Source organism: Homo sapiens, chromosome 8 (assembly GCF_000001405.40).
Source record: "Homo sapiens chromosome 8, GRCh38.p14 Primary Assembly".
Lineage (NCBI taxonomy): Eukaryota > Metazoa > Chordata > Mammalia > Primates > Hominidae > Homo > Homo sapiens.
This window is the reverse complement of record NC_000008.11, coordinates 21,310,242-21,333,474: the sequence shown is the minus strand read 5'-3', so window position 1 is coordinate 21,333,474 and position 23,233 is coordinate 21,310,242.

The following is a 23,233-nucleotide window of genomic DNA, read 5'->3' as shown; positions in this document are numbered from 1 at the left end:
TGACCTCAGGTGATCCACCCACCTCAGCCTCCCAAAGTGCTGGGATTCAGGCATGAGCAACTGCGCCTGGCCTAATATATGCTCATATTTCTCATCATATAGCTGATCTGTCTATATTTATTATAATGTATTTTGGCATCATTTTTATTTGCTGTCTAATCTTTATGGAGAGAGAAAAGGGAACCTAAAGACTTGGTGTCGGGGATACATTTGAGATGAATGGACAGGCTGGAGCTGTCACAGGGTGCTTAGACACCAGGCTGAATCACTTCATGTAAGGACTAGATGAGCCACTCAGGTCTTGACCCAAGGAAAAATCAAAATATCAACCAAAATGCACATAGAGATGAGGCCACTGGCTCAGGATTGAGTAGGGGTGGGGATGGTGGTCTAATCACCATGGCTCGTGGCACTCATGCGTTGAGGACACACTTAACAAGTGATTCAGAATCTGGAGCCACTAGGCTAATAGATATTGCATATTCAATATTTTCATTTATGGCTCATAAATGCAGGGCTTGTCCTGACTTAAAAACTGCACAGAATACCTGTATCACAATGCATTTTCCCCACAAAATTTCCCAGGTAATTAGTTTTATGGAGTATTGCCATTTGGCACATCTTTACCCCCTTTCCAAGCACTCCTGGGGATAGCTAAACTACTGGAAGAGAAATCTTACCACATAGCTATATGTAGAATTTAAATGCACATAAAACAGTCTGTAGTAGGAATAGCAAGCTTTCCATGTAGAGTCTGTATAGAGAAACAGAATGTGCAGACAGCTCCAAGTTTAGAACTCCATTCATCTCACCCACAGTCATTGATAATTTCTCTACGGCATCCCCAGGGTGGCACATGAAACCTTGGGAGAGGCTTGTTTCTCTGGCTAGGCTGCTCACCTTCCTGGTTTTTCTAGAATTCCTTGCTTCCATTAACTTTCATCCCCTCTGTCTTTAGATTTATTCTAGGCACATCGTCACCCCACCTTCCCCAGCCCCAATCATGGAGGTAGCAGGAGCACCCTCTCCAAACTACATCTTTTCCCGCTGCAGGGACCCTGGCCTGGCCTACCCCTGCTGAGCAGTCTTCACTTTCCATTATCAGTAAATCCATGGGTTATGCAGCCCGTGGGTCTACAGTCAGTGTGTTCCGTATTGGAGCCTAATATGTTGCTGCACTCATTTTGTGATGGGGAAGAAGGGTGTAAGTTGTTTTTCTGATGGCTATTGTTTTGTTCCTCTCTTTCTCTATAGCTTTCTGCTGCTTAATAGCTGGAAAGAAGGACATTGAATATTCCCAGCACAAATAAATGATGAGTGTTTGAGATGATGGAAATGCTAAGCTACCCTCATTGATCACTATACATTGTATGTATAGAAATATTACTGTGTACCCCTTAACTATATACAATTATTATGTGCCGATTAGAAAATAAAACTTAATAAATGTGATTTTTCTTCCTATTGTAGGCTAGGAAGGCTCATAGCTAGGGAGGTTTTATGTCATCCCAAGTAAGAAGAGTGTCCCTCTGGATTGGCCAAGCTGGAGGACACCCTGTGTGACACTCTACACACAGCTGGCAGGTCACAAAGTTCTGACAGCAGTTTCCAATAAGGATCTGTTCCCCCAACCCTAAATCCACGGGGCTGGGACTGAAACCACCCCCATAGGATTGACAAGAATTGCATGTCAAGTTCTGGACAGAATTACAATTATAATTAAGCATTCATCAGGTTGCGTTTGGTCCAGTCCCTTGTTGCTAAAAGTCACTAGATATTGACCATGTACATCCCCATTGTTCCTATAGACAGGATCTCTGACATTAGATTCATAAGCTTTTTGTTTAAAGATCCCTTAAGATGTTTCTTATACCTGAATTTCAGCAACCAGTTTGGAGACCCCCAGAGAGGAGTGGGACCCGCATGAGAATGCAGCTTCTTCACCTTCCCATCCCATGATGTCACTCTGCACTCTTAGACCAATCAACAATCTCCAAACTTTGGCTCACTCCAAAATCCTTAAAGGGCCTAACTCCAAGTTCCTCCCATCTGCTTGTTTGGTGATGCTATAGTTAAACCTCCTTCTGTGCTGCAACTCAGGGTCTCAGCATATTGACTTGTTATGTGCATTGGGCAATGAACCTATTACGGTTACAGAGCCTGCTCTAAAGGTATCACAGTAGAATTTCCCCAAAGAAAACTGACCTTCTTTAGTCAGCTGAGGGTTATGTGAGTGGCCGTATTGGTTTTGCAAAGGCTGGTAGGCCTGTATTACCCTGTGAGTTGTAGAGTCTTTGGTAATTTGATCCAGTCCTTGCCTGGCCAAGGAGGTTTGATTTACATAAGGAGCTCCAGGGTCCAGGTGGAGGAAAAAAATTGGTCCCTTCTAATCCCTTCTCCCTGGGATTTGGATGAATAGAGCACTTTAGGGTGTGTTAAAGGGTGCAGGAAGGGCCACAAATGCCTTGAAAAATGTAACAAATTTAAGGCAAAGGGGTGCCAAGTCTGGTGACCTAGGACCATCATGGGAAGGAAGGATGTTTTGATGCAGCAGGTGGCTGATGGCAGGAGTCTCTCTGGACACAACTTACCCACATAATGATTGATTTATTCAATAAGTGTTTATGGACTATACCATACACTGGTCTGGGCTTTGGGTTTACATTGATGGATAAAATCTGTACGGTCTCTATCTTTGGAGCATTGACAACATGGTTGTCTTCCGAGAACAGTTGCTGAGCATAAGTGCTGAGTCTGGGATGCCCACTGTGAAAGGAGAATAAATCTTGGGACCCCCAAATCACTAAGCCAAAGGGAAAAGTCAAGTTGGGAACAGCATCAGGCAAACCTGCCTCCCATTTTATTCCTAAACAAGATAGCTACAAAGATTTAAAAAGGCTACATACCTCCCTCACAATTTGCGCACTAGGAAATTCCTTGTGAGCCTCCAAATCTTTACCCTAAAAACGTTCTGTTGAATTTTACCCTGACAACGTAAGTTGATAGCTTATCTTCACAGGTGTGGGACAAAGGACAGAACCCTAAGTCATCCCTCTGCTCACCTGAGACAAATGCATATCTGATTGCTTCCTCTGATGCAAAAATGCAGATTCACTGAGCCAGACTAAGTCATAAGTGACTATTCCTCTGCCCGCCGCACCCCCCAGATGTAAATTGTGTATCCAGTGAAAGGCAGATCAACGACTCAGAAGAATGCAACTGTTTGTCTCTTATCTACCCATACTTTAAAAATATTTCATCCTCTATGCCCAATACCACTCTTTCCCCTTTAAATACTGAAGTTCTCAAAATCACCTTTGGAGAAAAGCAGAGACCTGCCTCCTGGGCATGAGTACTTAACCTGGGCTAAATAAACTTTCTAAATTGATTGAGACCCATCTCAGATACTTTTTGATTTATTCTGCCTAGGGCTCCCCTGCCACCCTAGAGGGGCCGAGATTCTCACATCAGTGGTCACACATTTTGTACGCTGTGCTGTACTAGTTTTGAAGGAACTAGAATGGGGTAACCGTAAGCAATCAAGGAGGACAAGGCATGAGATGTGGGTGGTTGTTCTGAGGGCAGTAAGATGAGCTGAATATGAACAGGTTGCTGGGCTGTGGGATGGAGACTGGCTTGAAGAGGCGGCAGGGTGGATGTGGGGAGCCTCTAGGAGGCTTTGCGGTAGTCTAGGCCAGTGGTCTTTATGTTGTGTGATTATGAACTCCACCAATGGAAAGACATTGAGCTGGTACTTCCAATGTGTATATTTTACAATTGATTTCCAAAAAGTATACTAATCTATTATAAGCCTTATTTCATATATATGTGAAAAATATACAATAGAAACGTATATTTAGGCTGGGTAGAGTGTCTCATGCCTATAACCCTAGTGCTTTGGGAGGCTAAAGTAGGAGGATTACTTGGGGCCAGGAGTTCAAGAACAGTCTGGGAAAGATAGTAGCAGCCCTTCTCTATAAGAAATGAAAAAAATAGCTGGGAGTAGTGGCACATACCTGTAATCCTAGCTACTTGGGAGGCTGAATTGGAAGGATTGCTCGAGCCCAGGAGTTTAAGGCTTAAGGATGTAGTGTGCTATGATCACACCATTGCATTCAAGCCCGGGGAAAAAAAAGTTATCTATTTATCTGTTACACATATAAAATATACATAAAGAATATAAAATGAACAATATTGATTTAAAGATAAAATATTACTTAAAGTATTTTTGTTTTAACTTATTTGTTAATGCCTCAAAAATGTGATTGACTATGCTTCACAACGTTTATTGTATCTTGGTATATGACTTTGTGACTAAACAATTCAAGCATCAATTTTTAAGTAGAGTTTATTTCAAGATTTAGTTTTCTTATCTGTCCATTGCTGGAAAAGACATTTTGCAAAGATATGCAGATACAAAGGCAAGAAACACTTCATTGGTTATACTTACTAAACCATGTTGAAAACAAAACCTTGTTTCTTTTTTTTTTTTTTTTTTGAGATAAAGTCTTGCTTTGTCACCCAGGCTGGGGTGCAGTGGTGCGATCTTGGCTCACTGCAACCTCCGCCTCCTGGTTTCAAGAGATTCTCCTGCCTCAGCCTCCCAAGTAGCTGGGATTACAGGCACACGCCACCATGCCTGGCTAATTTTTGTATTTTTAGTAGAGATGGGGTTTCACCATGTTGGTCAGGCTGGTCTCGAACTGCTGACTTCGTGATCCGCCCACTTCAGCCTCCCGAGGTGTTGGGATTGCAGGCATGACCCACTGTGCCTGGCCTGTTTAGTACTTTTCTCTTCTCCTTTATGTCGGTCAGTTGTTCTTTAAGGGTCAGAAGATGCTGCATTTTTTGTAATTTTAACAAACTTGTTAAAAAATTAAAAACTTAATTTGAACGATTTTAGACAGGGTAGAATAGTCTATTTTCAACTTTTTAAATTGTGTCTACATGAGAAATTTTAGAAGTAAATGACTTGTATCATTTTTTGCAACAAAATGTAACAATTTTAACATTTTCAAATACCTATTTCAAGATGCTCTCTCCTTAGCACAAGATTCCTTGAAAGGGATTCTTCACATTCATTCCTAACACACTCAACTTTTTTTCTTTTTATATTTTGGAGACAGGGTCTCACTGTCTCCCAGGCTGGAGTGCAGTGGTGCCATCATAGCTCACTGCAGCCTTGAACTCCTGGGCTCAAGCAACCCTCCTGCCTCAGTCTCCCAAGTAGCTGGGACTACAGGTGGGTGCTACCATGGCTGACTAATTTTTTAAACTTTGTGTAAAGATTGGATTCTGTTACATTGCCCAGGCTGGTCTTAAACTCCTGGCATCAAGTGATCCTCCTTCCTCAGCCTCCCAAAGTGCTGGGATTACAGGTGTGAACCACCATACCTGGCCCTAAAGCGTTAAACTTTGAAGGAGGTTGATTCAATATGTTTATGTTTTGAAACCATCTATTAGGAAGCATGTTATTGATAGCCACATGCTAGACCAGAACACCAGCAAATTGGGAGCACTTGGCTCTTTTTTTGTAAAGGAAATGAACAATTTAAAGTTATAGCATACTATGCATTTGGGCAGGTGATCATCTTTGGGGGGTAAAAAGAGTTCAAAAGGTTTTTACAGTCACTTCCTATCTTGTTAAGAAGGGTTAGGAAGATTCTAGTACCATCTGAAAAAGAGCATTGTAAGCTGAGCGTAGAAAACCAACAGCATGGTGAAAACATAAATTGTACCCACTGTGTAAAACAGTGTGGAGGTTTCTCAAAAGATTAAAATGAGAACTATCACGTGATCCAGCAATTCCTCTACTGGGCATATACATCCAAAGGAAAATCCAAAATCTGCATCTCAAAGGGATGCCTTCACTCCCTTATTCATTGCAGCATTATTTATAAGCCAAGCATTATGCATATGGCTAAGATAGAAAAATAGTTCAAATGTCCCTTGATAGATGAGTGGATAAAGAAATTGTTGTATATATGTGCAATGGAGTATTGTTCAGCCTTAAAAAAGGAGGTCCTGACATTTTCAACAACACAGATGAACCCCTGGGCTATCACGAATACCAACCCAGAGATACTCTTTCTGCTGGGAAGGTGTGGGGTACCTGACAGCTGACTGGGAAATCCAAAGGTGATTGGAACTATGTGGTCATTCTTTGGGAGAAAGAGAGGGGGCAGAGAAGGGCACGTAGCACATATACATCCTGTGTCCTGCTTTCCCTTGATAGGAGAATCTCTCTATGCTAGATATGGACACAGTGCCTGCTTGCCTCTTTTCCATTGGTTGGAGTTGAGTTTTGTCCATTGGACACTGCCCACCTCTCCAGCCTGAGTTTTCATCAGGTCTAACACCCCTTTTGTCCTACCAGTGGGGATTTGCCCACAATTCTCAAATGTCTTGAGTCTCATTTCTTTGCTTGCATCATTCTCTCTCCTACACTGCTAAGCAGCCTCTCCCTCAAAGAGGCAGCTCCCGTCTGTATTTCCCACCTGCACGTCCCGCTGGCCAGGTGCTTCTCTGGTCTCCTGTGGCACCAAGAACAGGTCTTTATCACAACACTTATCAGCCTGTGTTGAAAAGTTGATTTTCCTGTCTGTCTGCTTGAAGAGACGCTGAGCTTCTTGAGGAAATGGAATCCTATTCTGGATGTAGGTTCTGAATGAACGTTAGAATGAATGAAGGAACTGTGCTGGGTGCCAGACAGGCATCGAGGTATATAGTTGGTGCTGAGCAGGGCAGTGTGGCCATTGACGAGGAGCAGGGTGGCATCTCTGTGGGGCACCCCTAGAGCTTACTGGCCAACCCCCTTTAAAGCGGGACTTGTGCTGGGACCTTTCTCCGGGAGAGGGACCCTTCTCTCACCCCTCAAGCCCCTCTTTGTCTTCTGGCAGCCAACACAGGTACTGTTTGCTCCCAGAAATTTAACCTTTCCTAAATGCCTGCACTTGACTCTCTATCATAGCTGCCTTCAGTGGTCTCCCTGCCTTCAGTGTGACTCGACTGATAGAAGCTTTCCAAACAATTGCATTCTCTAAAATCTGAAGAACCCACTTCGGTAACAATTTTCTTTCTAGCTGTGCATTTTCAAAGCTATTAACTGTACTTTGTTCTTGAAATGGGGCTGAGCCCTTGCTTGGGGGTCAGATGCTTCTTGTGGGTAAGTCCAGCTCTGGAATGGCAGTGGGTCCCTCCCACTGCTGTCTGAGCTTGGGTGCACGCTTCCACCCCCAAGCTGGCCTGCCCATGCCTTGGCCTCCCTGGTGTGGGTGGTGGCACTGGCTCACGGGGGAACTGGTTATTCCAGAATACTCTCTGTAGGAGACAGGGCTCCTTGGGGGCTGGACTTCGGTCAAGTGCACAGTGTGCACTGGTCCTTGGAGATACACACATTTCACAGAAAAGATCTAGTCTCCATCCCAGATGGCTCGATAATCAGCTGTGTGGATAGGTAGCCGATGTGTGGGGGGAGGATTGAGAAAAACTAAATCCTGGAAGGAGGATAGAGGGAATGAGACAGGTGGACCCCTCTGTAGAAGGCTGAATTATTGGCCCTGATTCTGTTTCTACACTCTTGGCCCTATGACTTTGATGCCTCCCCATTCCCACTAATTGTGCAGTGAATTTCCTCCTTGACTTGGGGTAGCCTTGTGATTTGCTTCAGCTAGAGGTATAGGGTAGAAGTGAGAGGGTGCCATGTCTGAGGCTAGCCCTTCAAAGAATTGTATATTTCTGCTTGCTATCACCGTGAGGAGCACTTCCCCCAGGTCGTGGCACTGCATCCATCGCCTTGGTCCCACGATGGGAGCAGACCCGAGTCTAAACCACAGCAAAGAGCCATGTCCAGCCAGATCTGCAGCCTAAAGCAGAGATGCTCCCTTCCCATTGGCCAATCTATGGATTTGTGAGAAAAAATATAATTGTTACACTGGGTTTTGGGGTGGTTTGTTATGCAGCTATAACTAACTGACACAATGCCTCAGTGTAAGATTTTAAAAGGGGTAAGTTGTGTCCTTTCTACTCTTTCAGGAACTGTCTCCAAATTTCCTTTTACCCATAGGTAAGATCATGCCTTTTTCGTACCAATAATAAAAATTGAATTAATTACAGCACTATTTATGGAACACTGGCAGTGTGTCAAGTTGTCTTATAGTTACATGTTTTAATTTAATCTTCACAACAATCCCTGTGATCCAGGTGTGATTATCATCTCCATCTTATAGATGAGAAGCAAGAGGCCCGGAGAGGTTAAGTAATTTGCCCCCAGTTCACAATTCACTAAGGCATGATGCAGCAAGTATATGAACCCAGGCAGGCTGGCTGCAGAGCCAATATTCTTGGCTGCTACTAATTGCATCCTTCCTACCTCTTCTCACTTTTTCTTATCAGAAATCCAGAAAGATGAACTCAATCCTAAGGGAGCATCTGAGACAAATTTGGGAGAGCTTGTCTTTTAGCCCTGAGCTTTAGGAGTAGTTCAGGAGGTTTCCATTTGTTAAGCGTTACTGAGCAACCTGGAGAATCTGGGTTGCAAATGACACTGCTGAGGCCAAGGCCAACATAGCCTTCCAGTGTACTGCAGTCCTGACCACAGCTGTTTTCCGGCTGGTAAGCTCTTTGGGCCACTCTGAAAGCACAGGACAGAATGTGGCTGTACCCTTCTCTTGTCTGTGGCTGTGCAGTGCAGGGGAACAGGCCTTTGAGTCCAAAGGGCTGCTTTCTAACTCCAGGCCATAACAGCTATTTAGTCTTAGGGGAGCCAGACTTGTGTTAACAAGTGCTAGTACAGTGGTTGTAAACTGTGGAAATATATAGATGCTAATGATTAGAATTATGGTTGCTAAGATTCATAACTTGAAGACAGAGTTGCCACTCTAAACCTGGCTAGTCATTGTTTGGTTGATGTCCTGGGTAGCTAATGAAGTACTAGAAACTTGTTCTAAGCATCCTGTAAAGCTTACTTCTATCCCTTCTACGTTCCTTCTTTTGTTTCTTCCTCCTTTCATCCTTCTCTTTCTTCCACTTCTCTTCCCTTCCACTTCTTTTCCTTTCCCATCCATCATTTATTCAACAGCATCTCTTAGTCTGGAGTTGCCAATTTCTAAGATAGGAATTGTAGAGTAGATGCAAAAACCAGTGCATTGCAGCTAAAACCATCTCAAAGTTGCTCCCCCTACCCCAACTCACGTACTGGTATCTGGTGACCATAGCTTGCATTTCTTTTCCTTTGTGGAGGCCAATTCAATAATATACCCAGTACCCAGTTTCCAAGTCAGAAACACAAGAAGTCCCTTTCCTCCCATCCCACCAAACTTGAGTAATAGGGGATGACGGTGGCAATATCCATCTCAAACTCAAATCCCAGCCTGGGAAAAGAAAGAATGCAGGAGAAGGACAGAAAGCATGTGACATGCGGAAGAAGAGGAAGAGTAAATTGCCCTGGACATGAAAGGAAGGAAATTGCATATATCGTAACCGAATCTCATATACATAAGACAGACATGGCTGTTTTAATAGGCTCTGGAAAACTGAAAGGACCCACAGGGAGAAAGTACTCGTAGCAAATGAGATGCAGATTTTGGAAGAGAAGCAGACAGTAGCTATTCCTAGTGGAAGCAGGAAGATGGGGTGGTTTTTAATTAGGCTTATCCTGTAGAAGCCTGGCACAGGCTGAGCACAGGGCATCAGAAGGGCCATTCAAGCTCGGGGCACCTGAGTGAGAGTAATAAGACTCCAAGTGTAAATAGACCACAGTCAGACCCTACCTGGGTCCGGCTAAACCCCTTAAGCTTCACGTGTAAGGACAGAAGCCAAGGTCAGATACTGATATTATCTACCTACCTTTGGCTACCTACTTTTGGCTGCCTTTGGCTGAGGAGTTGCTAGAAGCAGAGACGGATGACAGGACTGGGGTGGAGATTTGAAGTGTAGGCTATGGGACATTATGCAAATGCAAGCTGAGTGAATTAAGAGGTGTTTGCCTGTTGGGTTTGGACAGATTCGTAGGGATGGACTCTGCTGGCAAGGGTTTTGAGGATGGGCATTTCAGAAGGCCTTGAGTTTTGACCCTAGGTGTGGCCAGCAATGTCCCTGCAGGTTTAAAGCCCTCTGCTTTTGAGCACATCTGGGCATCATCGTTGTAGTTCGTCACAAGGGAGATATGGGAAGTGAAGAGATAAGGCTTGGATGTGTGCAAGCTGATGGCTTCTGTTGTTCATTTTCGAGCCAGCAATTACAGGGAAGATGGTCAGGAGATTGGAGAGGAAACGGCCCTTGACACGGAACATTCCTGAAGCAAATATGGCATAAGTGGGGGTGGAGCAACAGGAGGCAAAGAGGATGGTGACAAGGCACCTGCTTCCTGGGATGGGCAGGATCTGGCCACAGCAGCAGAAATGAAGCATGATAGGGTCACAGTTGAGAGCATGGACTGAGAGGCAGTCAGCCTGGTTGAGAATCTTGGCTCTGCCACTGTGCCTGTGTGACCATGGGCAAGTCACCAAAATGTTCCCTGCCTTGGTTTCTCGACTTGTAAAATGAGGACCGGCATGAGAATTAAATGAGTCAGTATTTACAAAATGCTTAGGAAACTGTCGGGTACGTAGCTGAACCTTGCACAGGGTCTGTTAAGTAAAACAAAATAATATAATTTAAAAAGAAAGCACAAAGAGCTCATCCCTTTTAAGATGGTACAGGGGAAATGGGAAGACAAGCAGAGTCCTAGATGCCATGTGCAGAAAAGGCTGAACGGGGGAGTTGCTGATTCATTGAATGTGACTTACAGGGAAGAGTGGTGAATATTCATAGCCTGGGAGCCCCTGCTGCTGGGATCACTGGGAGGATTGGAAAATACTGCAGAAGCTGGCAGGAGCATCCTCTTCTGGGGGAGAGTGATGTAGGTGTGTGGGACCTGAGGAACTGGATGAGGCAGAGGGATACCCCCAAAAAAGCTGTTACACAAGCTGCTGCATCCCAGGCAGGACAGTGGAAAACTACTAGATGTCACAGTAAAGTCCCTGATGCAGTGAGTAAGCTGCAATGTTTTGAAGTTGTTTCTGTCATTTATGCCAAATTTTGAGCCAAAAGGAGAGAATGGAAGTGCTGAGGTCACGAAGGCAGTAGGTGTGGTGGTCCCTCAGTAATCTTGTGGGTTCACAGATAAACATTGACCTAAAACCAACAACCAACCAACCAACCAGCCAATCAACCAGCCAGGTATCTATTTTAACAGCAACCAACCAACCAACCAACCCACCCACCAGGTGTTTTAATACCAGGCAACTGGAGATGCAAGCTTGGGTTAAATTAGACATGAAGGTTTTTGCAGTGGCCACAGCTGTTTTCTCTGGAAATGAAAATCCAGACCTTGGAGCTTCTGCTTCCCCGAGCACACACTAGTCCCCAGGAACAAACCTCTCCTTCTCTCTCTCTCTGGCTCTTCCACCTCTGCCTCCCCGTGCTTGTGAGTGTTCTGCAGCACCAGCAAAGAACACAAGCACCTTGAAGCCATGAGGGAGCGGTGGAGGAGGCTGTCCCTCCCTCCTAATGACTTTCTCTGGACTCGTTGCTGTTAGAAGCAGTTGTAAGGCAGCAGGGAATCGGCCTTTGAAAGCAAAAGCTCCCAACAGTGGATTTTGTTTTCCGTAAGTAAATTAATTGGACAGCCCTGTGTAAAGGGTGACAAGAAGAGAAAGAAAATGAGCAGGAGAGAACTAGAGAGCCAGGTAGTGGAGGGGAGGTGAAGCGGGGCTGGTTGAAAGTAGGGTAGGCCATTCCAAGAATTATAATACATTGATAGAAATAATCAAGTTAGCAATGATCCAAAGACTTTATCTATATTATCTGCTCATTGCCTTCTGGGCATCAGCCAGCTGTTATGAAGCTGTTGGAACCTCCTGCTCAGCCAGGGAACATAAGAATGAAGATGGAGAGTTTCCCCTTAGGGAGCTCATCCCCACTGGGCCCTGTTAGGCTGTGAACTCATCTCCTGATGACACCACCTGGCATTTCCCCTCTTCTGCCCCCAGGAGTGCTGACACAGCAATTCACACACAATCACGACCCTTTCTGCCTTAGCCTCAAGAAGTAGGGGTGGGAGGCTCTTAGATATCCACTGGATAAAAGGCAAGCCACCCCCTTTCTTGGGGAAAACTTCTGTTCTGGGAGCTAGTACAAAGATGAGGTGTTTTTTGCTGTCTGGAAAGTGGGTTTAGAATCATGGCCAGTTTCATTTATGGAATTTCTTTTGGCCATATGTTCCTATTTATTCTGATTGGGAATGGCTTGGGGAATCTCTTAAAGCTTCAAGGAAGGCAGCTCAGCTTTCCCTGAATCCCAGTGCATCTTCATGGTGAGGTATCACACCAGAAACACACCCAGGTGGGTGCACACATCAGTGTACCTTCCGATATGGACAGCAAGACTGAAGATGGTTTTAGGATGTTTACAGGGGTCCAATAGACTTTGACTCTGGAGTTGAAGACAGGAGTTTCTTCCAGCTTCCTTCCATGGGAATAGTTCTGGTCTAGAGACAAGAAACCTGTGAGGCCCTTTTGAGTCTATAATCCACCAACTTGCTGACCTTGAGGAAGCCACCCTGCGTTTATGGGTCTTACATTTCTTTCTCATGAAAAGGAGGGTTTGGTGATGATTCAAGGTCCTGGGGCTGGGCTTTGGATCTGTGAATCCCCTGAAGCCAGATGTAACATTCTCTGTGTGCAACTGTATGTTTGTACATTTTCCTGGGGTAAAGGTCTACAGCTTTCGTTAAGACCTCAAGAGGAGGTCCTGGGAATAGGAATTTCCTTTCCCTTTGACATCTAAAAATCCTCTTAGAGTCTACAGCTCAGGCACAGGCCCATCCAAGACAATATTTAGTCTCCTCTCCTGGGCTTTTTACTTACCTCTTCTAGTCCTATTATTACTTTGATATTTGTTGTTGTTGTTTTGTTTTCTTTTACTTGTTATCTGGACCAATGCTTGTCTAGCCTTTCAATGACCAAAGACTCCAATCTCTGTGTTGAGAGAGGATCTGACATGGATTTTCATAACATTTGAGATGTGAAAACAGCTTGGGAAACACAGTTTAAATGTCCAAATCTGTATATTTCCAGTAAATTCTTGTGCTTGTGGAAGTAGACTCTTGGAAATTGATTGTTGGGTCCCCCGGCTCTTGCTTTCTCTTTAATTCTTAAATATTTTTCTCTTTCTGAAGGAACTTCCAGTCTCTTTAGACACATAGAAGAAGTTTGGATAGCTTCTTTCAGAGGGGAAGCATTTTCTGAAACCTCCACATCCTAGTTACCCAAGCTGCACAATACACCTCTCCTTTCTCCAAACATTATTAATAACAATTCCTTTGATTAAAAATTTTTAAAAATTATTCATGGCTCTTACTTGATTTCCTGACCACCTTGTCAGGCAGTTATCAGATGAGATAATGCCTACGAAGGCACTTTGTCATGGGACAGGCGTAAGGAGGGTGGGTGAGAGAGGATTGTTTTACAACTGATATCAGGAAAGCAGGGTAACTGCCTATATGGTTACCTGCAGGTTGGTTTATCACAGCAACTAACCCCAGGGCTTTGGAAACAGGCAGATCAGAGGCCAAATATTAGTCCTTTGTATAGCTGTGTTGTGTTGGGCACAGTGCTCAAACGCTCTGAGCCTCTCTTTCCTCATACATAAATGAAATGGTGACATTGATGCTTATATCCCAGGGATGACATGAAGATGAAAGGGTATTTTGACCCTAGAACCTGGAGTACAGTGCCTGGCACATGGTGGTGGCCTGCAGCACTGTAGCCATTCTTATTTTGGCAAGGTTACCACACCCACCTCCATCATAGAATTTTTGTATCTGCCTCTTGACTGTAAATTATTGGAATATCCTGGAAGAGCAACAGCAATAAAGAGAATCAGATATAAAAGGAAAAGTAGAGTTCCTCTATCCTACTCCCAAATCAACTTATAGATGAAAGTAAGCCCAGAGAAAGAAAGTTGTTTTTCTCAAACACACAGCTATTTAGAAGGCAGCAACAGGGTGATAAATTACCCTGGCACTGAAGGGTTCCACGGGGTGCAAGACTTTAAAAGCTAAAACTGGGACAATCCTGGGTAAACCAACATAGGCTACTCAACCGAGGCAGTGACAAGGTAAGATTTTGATCCCCTGATTTCCAGCCAGACTAGTAGCCTTTTCAACCTATGAAACAAGTGTTCTATACAAAGTCCATCTTCTCTCAGTGTTTACCATTTTCGGCAGAAGCTCTCCCACTGATATGTCTGGCCCCCACACTGTTCTAGAGCCCAGAGAAGGTGAAAGCATTGTCCTCTACTCTCCATAGGGCTCACCTCCACACATCCCCTGACCCTTATTAGGCTCACAGTCCTGGGTGAGTCTCGGGGCTATTTTAGGGCGGCTGCATGGACCAGGGCTGGAGCACAGGGGCTGGATGAACTTGCATCTGTCTGCTGTTAGCTGCATTGCTTCTGGGTGTGATGCTTAGGCCACATGGAGAAGAGGAAGAACAAGATATATTTGTGGGAGCCTGGATTGATCATAGAGAGAATGGGACAAGTGACATCAGATCAAAAGCAAAGTTGGGAGATGGGTGAAAAAAAGAGTAAAGAGTTGAGATTGGTGGCATGAAGTTCTGTAAGTGACATGCCACAACTTCTGCTGGTATACATGTAAGTAACAAAGAACTCATCTCCAGAATATATAAAGAACTATAAATCAGTGAGAAAAAGACAAACAATACATTAGAAAAATACACACCTTAGAAAAATAGACAGAAGGCTTACAAAAGATATCCAAGTGGTCAGTAACACATGGAAAGGTACAAAACTTTAGTCAACAGGGAACTGCAAATTAAAATCACACACACTTACCATATATCAAGCTATTTAATTTATATATCAAGCTATAAAATTGAAACATCAAGTGCTGGTAAGAACGTAGAGCAACTGGGCCTCTCATACTCTACTGGGAAGAGAATGAACTGGTACAACCACTTTGGAAAATTGCTTGGTAGGACCTACTAAAGCTGACTGCACACACGTATCCCATGAACTAGCAATTCTTCTCTACATGTGCACCCAAACAGAAGTGAATGCTTACGTGCACCAAGCCAGAGATAATGTTCACAGTCTTATTACTGACAAGTGCTAGAAAGAACACAAAGATCTGTCCATAGTATGATGAATAAATAATTGTGATATAATTACATGGAATATGATATAACAATGAAAATGAATGACATCACCATATCTACAAACATGAATTAGACACAGAAAGGTACATATTATATATATGATTCCATTTACATTAAATTCAAAAATAGGTTCAACTGATCACTGGTTTTAGAAATGAGGATGATACTACCTTTCAGGGAGTGAGTGACTAAGTGAGAGCAGGAGCAGAGCTTCTTGAAATGTTCTTTGCCTTGCTCTGGGTGGTGGTGCAAGTTTGCTTTATGAAAACTGATTGAGATGAGCCCTCATGATTTGAAAACTTTTCTGTATGCACATAGTTCTTCAGTGAATACATTTATTTTAACAACGAATGCATTGTTTCATCGAATGTCTTTCCTTCATGTTCTGAGTCACTGCAGCTCTGGGCAAAAAGTCTGGGCCTTAGTTTCCCCAGCACACTATCCTGCTATTCAGAGTTGTTGCACAAAAGAAAGGTATCCATTCATCCCTTCCCCTTGGGTTCTACCGTAAGGTGGGTACCCTGTGCCAGCCACATTCCCTCTCTAGGATGAAGACTCCCATGGGCAATGGCGTTATTTTCTCTTTCCAGACATAGAACCCTTTTTTTTGTTTGTTTTGAGATGGAGTCTTGCTCTGTCATCCAGGCTGGAGTGTAATGGTGCAATCTTGGCTCACTGTAACCTCTGCCTCCTGGGTTCAAGTGACTCTCCCACCTCAGCCTCCCAAGTAGCTGGGACTATAGGTACACGCCAATATGCCCGGCTAATTTTTGTATTTTTAGTAGAGATGGGGTTTCACCATGCTGGCAAGGCTGGTCTCAAACTCCTGGCCTCCAGTGATCCACCTGCCTTGGCCTCCCTAATTGCTGGGATTATAGGTGTGAGCCACTGCAGCCGGCCAGACATATGCACCCTCTTATTCCTCTCTAGAGAAATAACATCCTTTGGCCAGGTGCGGTGGCTCACTCCTGTAATCGCAGAACTTTGGGAGGCCGAGGCAGGCAGATCACCTGAGGTCAGGAGTTTGAGACCAGCCTGGCCAACGTGGTGAAGCCCTGTCTCTACTAAAAAATACAAAAATTAGCCGGGCGTGGTGGCAGGCGCCTGTAATCCCAGCTACTCGGGAGGCTGAGGCAGGAGAATCGCTTGAACCCAGGAGGCGGAGGTTGCAGTGACGCAAGATCGTGCCACTGCACTGCAGCCTGTGAGACAAGAGCTAGACTTCATCTCAAAAAAAAAAAGAAGAAATAACATCTTTTCTGTTTATTCTGGGCCCCACACAGCGCCAAGCCCCCTGTTCTAGAACTTTAACAAATTGACTCCTGCCAATCTCCTCTTTTTCTGCAGCCTTTCACTTCATTTTTAGGCCACTTAGTCCATTTTCCCCCCCTTTTGTCCTTGGTTCTCAAGAGAGCCCATTTGGGCTGAGCCCTATTTGGTGACAAGTTGTCAGAGCAGCTCAGGCCTTAGTTCTGTTGTGTGATTTAAGCCAAAAAAAAAAAAAAATTTGACTGGGGAAATTAGATGGAGGTGATTGCAGCTAAAGTGCCTTTTATTGAAGCTTTTGGAAAACGTAAATGTCATCAGTCTTGTCAAAGCCAGACACAGGAGAAAATAACAGGACTCAAGGCGGGCCAGCATACATGCTGGGGCTCACAAACTTAGAATTAGCCTCCCTATTTGTTATTACTTTTTCCTTGTAGGTAGTGGGAGGGAAGGGGGAGGAGAGGAGAAGATGAATAGAAGGGGAGAGCAGGGTGCGGTGGGAACCTGGGTGCAAAATGTCGAACCTGAACAGTGGTGGTGATTTTTTTATTCCTCTAGAGCATGGACAACATCCCTGTGATTTCTGAGCAACTGAGATGAGAGCAGCCAAGAGTTGAAAGCATCAACCTTGGCCTGGAATTAGAGTTGTGGACAGTTGACTAGGCTGGGATGGGAAGGGGGATGTGGTGCTGGGGCCCCTGTGCTGTCATCAGAGCAGCTGCAGATTGATCAGGTGCCCCAGCGACGCTGGAGATGACCATCCAGGAAGGATCTGCCCATCATTCAAAGACCACTGCTAATCTACAACACCTGAGACCTGGGTGGACTATAAAGAAGAACAAAGTGTGGCATGTTGCCAAGAATCTAGAACTAGGACTTTGAGGAAGGGTGGGTGTTAGCCGTGGATCTGTAACAGGAGGGAAATCTATACATGGAAATTGGTTGAAAGTTGAGTCTGAAACCAATAGATTAGTGAATGAGAAGAAAGGACAGGTGACATGTGAGTTAACCAGGAATCTATGCACAGATTGAGGTTGGGGCATATCAGATGTGACTCAGAGAGCAGACCCTTGGTGCAAAGGTCCGGACTGGTGATGGTCAGCCCTGGCAAGGGCGGGCAGGAGGCAGCAGGTGCTATACATTAGGAGGTAGAAATCTGGGGAAGAGAAATCTAGCTCCTTGGTTCTGGGTCAAGACAGAGTAAGGGAAATAAGATAGAACCCAGTCCAGGTTATAGGGAACAAAGTGTGACTTTAAAGAGGAAAACCTGGAGTCCAGTCTTGGAGGAGTAGAATGTTCGAGGTTAGAGTGGAGTTCTAGTGGTAATATTACCTTAAAGAAGATCTCTGAGACTATAATCAAAGTGTCCTCAACTCTCTGAGGATAATATTAACTCCCTGTTCCATAGAGGGTGAGACTCCGTTTGGAAGTTGAGTAACTCTAGCTCCTAAGCTTGGTAGCCACGCTTAATGAGCCAAACAGTTCATTATGTAAGAGCTGCGTCTGGTCAGTGCACACTATCCAGAACATGCTGTGTTAAATCTGAGCAAGCCAGACAACAGAGAGCTTTGAATTCAGAAAAAGGAGGGATTGTTTAAGGCTGATGTCATTTGTGAAGATTTTCTGGAAGAGCTTGAACTCAGAACCCAAGGTTTCCATCTCTTCACTAGTTCCTAAGAATTAACACCAGCCAGATGAGAATACCTGGAAGCACCTGCAACACTTCCCATCAGCACTAAATTATTCTAAGTAAATTCCCTTTTCAGCCCGTCACTGTGGCTCACAGCTGTAACCCCAACACTTTGGGAGACTGAGATAGGAGGCTCGAGTGTAGGCCAGGAGCTTAAGACCAGCGTGGGCAACATAGTGAGACCCGTCTCTACAAAATTCTTTTTAAAAAATTAACAAATACACCCCTTTCAAGGATTTGCTTCCCTTACTTGTGAAATGAGAGTTTGAACTAAAGAATGTGTATGATCACTTCCTCCTCCCATCTCTTGTCATCATTGTTTGGCGTTAGTATGCCCGAGCATGTCACATACCACCTTTTGTTATTCTTTGCTGAATTTCTCCTTCCCCAGACCTCTGAAGGCAGGAAATCTGTCGTTTTCATAGAATATACATAGCAGAGAAACTGTCATGAAGGAGGCACTCAATAACTATTTATTGAATGAATGAATGAAGTGCAGCCAATATTCTTTGATACCTGCCCATAGGTTTGAGACTGGAGGCCCTCAAGAGAGTCAAAATGCCCTCCCCGCCCCCAGCCTCCTGCCATTTCTTCCTCTTTGATGCTGGGTGGTATCTGAACTATCTTCCTTGGGGCAGATGATTTTTTTAAGAAATTGATTCCTCATTTCAAGCATGATAAATCCAGAGGCAGATAACTGGCAACTTGAGTTAGGTGTCCACAGAGGGCAATTGGCTTCAGAAAGATAGCCTGGGTGACTTACATCCCCTTCCAGCAGCAGGGAAGAGCTGGAACCTGCAGTCCCTGGACAGCACCCGCGTTCCAGGATCAGGGATAGTGTCTCTGGCAGCAAAGGCAACACCACCCGCGGTCACTGTGTGTTTCCCTGGCCTGACCCACTGGCTGTCTCCCAGGAAGGATCCTACACTTGGCATTCCAGCGACTGCCAGCGCCCTGGACTGGATCCAGGTGTGGTCCTTTCCCACTGACTCCCAGCTGGACTGGTTCCCAGTGTGTCCTTTCCCATGACTCCCAGCTGGACTGGATCCCAGTGTGGTCCTTTCTCACTGACTCCCAGCCTGACTGGATCCCAGCGTGGTCCTTTCCCACTGCCTCCCAGCCCTGGACTGGATCTCAGTGTGTCCTTTCCCACTGACTCTCAGCCCCGGACTGGATCCCAGCATGGTCCTTTCCCACTGACTCTCAGCCCTAGAGTGGATCCCAGTGTGTCCTTTGCCACTGACTCCCATCCCCGGACTGGATCCCAGTGTGGTCCTTTCCCACTGCCTCCCAGCCCTGGACTGGATCCCAGTGTGGTCCTTTCCCATTGACTCCCAGCCAGACTGGATCTTGGTGTGTCCCTTCTCACTGGATCCCAATGTATCCTTTGCCACTGACTCCCAGCCCTGGACTGGATCCCAGTGTGGTCCTTTCCCACTGACTCCCAGTCCTGGAATGGATCCCAGTGTGGTCCTTTCTCACTGACTCCCAGACCCGGACTGCATCCCAGTATAGTCCTTTCCCACTGACTCCCAGCCCCGGACTGGATCCCAATGTGGTCCTTTATCGCTGACTCCCAGCCCCAGAGTGGATCCCAGCGTGGTCCTTTCCTACTGACTCCCAGCCCCGGACTGGATCACAGTGTCATCCTTTCCCACTGACTCTCAGCCCCGGACTGGATGCCAGCGTGTCCTTTCCCACTGACTCCCAGCTGGAATGGGTCCCAGCGTGTTCCTTTCTCACTGACTCCTAGCCCCGGACTGGATCTCAGTGTGTCCTTTCCCACTGACTCCCAGCCCCGGACTGGATGCCGGCGTGTCCTTTCCCACTGACTCCCAGCCGGACTGGATCCTGGTGTGTCCTTTCCCACTGACTCCCAGCCCCGGACTGGATCCCAGTGTCGTCCTTTCCCACTGACTCTCAGCCCCGGACTGGATCCCAGGGGGGTCCTTTCCCACTGACTCCCAGCCCCGGACTGGATCCCAGTGTGGTCCTTTCTCACTGACTCCCAGCCCTGGAGTGGATCCCAGTGTGTCCTTTGCCACTGACTCCCATCCCCGGACTGGTTCCCAGTGTTGTTGTTTCTCACTGACTCCCAGCTCCGGACTGGATCCCAGTGTGGTCCTTTCTTACTGACTCCCAGCCCCGGACTGGATCCCAGAGTGGTCCTTTCCCACTGACTCCCAGCCCCGGACTGCATCCCAGTGTGGTCCTTTCCCACTGACTCCCAGCCCTGGACTGCATCCCATTGTGGTCCTTTCCCACTGACTCCCAGCCCCGGACTGCATCCCAGTGTGTCCTTTCCCACTGACTCCCAGCCCCGGACTGGATCCCAGTGTGGTCCTTTCCCACTGACTCCCAGCCCCGGACTGCATCCCAGTGTGGTCCTTTCCCACTGACTCCCAGCCCCGGACTGCATCCCAGTGTGTCCTTTCCCACTGACTCCCAGCCCCGGACTGGATCCCAGTGTGGTCCTTTCCCACTGACTCCCAGCCCCGGACTGGATCCCAGTGTGTCCTTTCCCACTGACTCCCAGCCCCGGACTGGATCCCAGTGTGGTCCTTTCTCACTGACTCCCAGCCCCGGACTGGATCCCAGAGTGGTCCTTTCCCACTGACTCCCAGCCCCGGACTGCATCCCAGTGTGGTCCTTTCTCACTGACTCCCAGCCCCGGACTGGATCCCAGTGTGGTCCTTTCCCACTGACTCCCAGCCCCGGACTGCATCCCAGTGTGTCCTTTCCCACTGACTCCCAGTCCCGGACTGCATCCCAGTGTGGTCCTTTCTCACTGACTCCCAGCCCTGGAGTGGATCCCAGTGTGTCCTTTGCCACTGACTCCCATCCCCAGACTGGATCCCAGTGTTGTTCTTTCTCACTGACTCCCAGCTCCGGACTGGATCCCAGTGTGGTCCTTTCCCATTGACTCCCAGCCAGACTGGATCCTGGTGTGTCCCTTCTCACTGGATCCCAGTGTGTCCTTTGCCACTGACTCCCAGCCCTGGACTGCATCCCAGTGTGGTCCTTTCCCACTGACTCCCAGCCCCGGACTGCATCCCAGTGTAGGCCTTTCCCACTGACTCCCAGCCCGGGACTGGATCTCAGCGTGGTCCTTTCCCACTGACTCTCAGCCCCGGACTGGATCTCAGTGTGTCCCTTCCCACTGACTCTCAGCCCCGGACTGGATCCCAGCGTGGTCCTTTCCCACTGACTCCCAGCCCCGGACTGGATGCCGGCGTGTCCTTTCCCACTGACTCTCAGCCCTGGACTGGATCCCAGTGTCGTCCTTTCCCACTGACTCCCAGCCCCGGACTGGATCCCAGTGTGTCCTTTCCCACTGACTCTCAGCCCCGGACTGGATGCCGGCGTGTCCTTTCCCACTGACTCCCAGCCGGACTGGATCCTGATGTGTCCTTTCCCACTGACTCTCAGCCCCAGACTGGATCCCAGCGTGGTCCTTTCTCACTGACTCCCAGCCCCGGACTGGATCTCAGTGTGTCCTTTCCCACTGACTCTCAGCCCCGGACTGGATCCCAGCATGCTCCTTTCCCACTGACTCCCAGCCCCGGACTGGATCCCAGTGTGGTCCTTTCTCACTGACTCCAAGCCCCGTACTGGATCCCAGTGTGGTCCTTTCCCACTGACTCTCAGCCCCGGACTGGATCCCAGTGTGGTCTTTTCCCACTGACTCCCAGCCCCGGACTGGATCCCAGCATGGTCCTTTCTCACTGACTCCCAGCCCCGGACTGGATTTCAGTGTGTCCTTTCCCACTGACTCCCAGCCCCGGACTGCATCCCAGTGTCGTCCTTTCCCACTGACTCTCAGCCCCGGACTGGATCCCAGCGTGGTCCTTTCCCACTGACTCCCACCCCGGACTGGGTCCCAGTGTCATCCTTTCCCACTGACTCTCAGCCCCGGACTGGATGCCGGCACGTCCTTTCCCACTGACTCCCAGCCCCGGACTGGATCCCAGTGTGGTCCTTTCTCACTGACTCCCAGCCCCGGACTGGATCCCAATGTGGTCCTTTCCCACTGACTCCCAGCCCCGGACTGGATCCCAGTGTGGTCTTTTCCCACTGACTCCCAGCCCCGGACTGGATCCCAGCATGGTCCTTTCTCACTGACTCCCAGCCCTGGACTGGATCCCAGTGTCATCCTTTCCCACTGACTCCCAGCCCCGGACTGCATCCCAGTGTCGTCCTTTCCCACTGACTCTCAGCCCCGGACTGGATGCCAGCGTGTCCTTTCCCACTGACTCCCAGCCTCGGACTGGATCCCAGTGTCGTCCTTTTCCACTGACTCCCAGCCCCGGACTGGATCCCGGTGTGGTCCTTTCTCACTCCCAGCCCCGCACTAGATCCCGGTGTGGTCCTTTCCCACTGACTTCCAGCCGGACTGGATCCTGGTGTGTCCTTTCTCACTGACTCCCAGCCCCAGACTGGATCCCGGTGAGGTCCTTTCTCACTGACTCCCAGCCCCATACTGGATCCCGGTGTGGTCGTTTCCCACTGACTCCCAGCCTTGGACTGGATCCCAGCGTGGTTCTTTCCCACTGACTCCCAGCCCTGGACTGGATCCCAGTGTGGGCCTTTCTCACTGACTCCCAGCTGGACTGGATCCCAGTGTATCCTTTCCCATGACTCCCAGCTGGACTGGATCCCAGCGTGGTCCTTTCCCACTGACTCCCAGCTGGAGTGGATCCTGGCGTATGCTTTCTCACTGACTCCCAGCCCTGGACTGGATCCCAGTGTGGTCCTTTCCCACTGACTCTCAGCCCCGGACTGGATCCCAGTGTGGTCCTGTCCCACTGCCTCTCAGCCCTGGACTGGATCCCAGTGTTGTTCCTTCTGATTGACTCTTAGCCCGACTGGATCCCCGTGTGGTCCTTTCCCACTGACTACCAGTCCCAGACTGGATTACGGTGTATCTTTTCTCACTGACTCTCAGCCCGGACTACTTTCTGGTGTTGTCCTACAGCCTCATCCTTAGAATTGCAAATTTCCAGAACCTTCCCTTTGGTGGCTCATAGTTCTGACTTAGGGAAACCCCGGTGTCTGA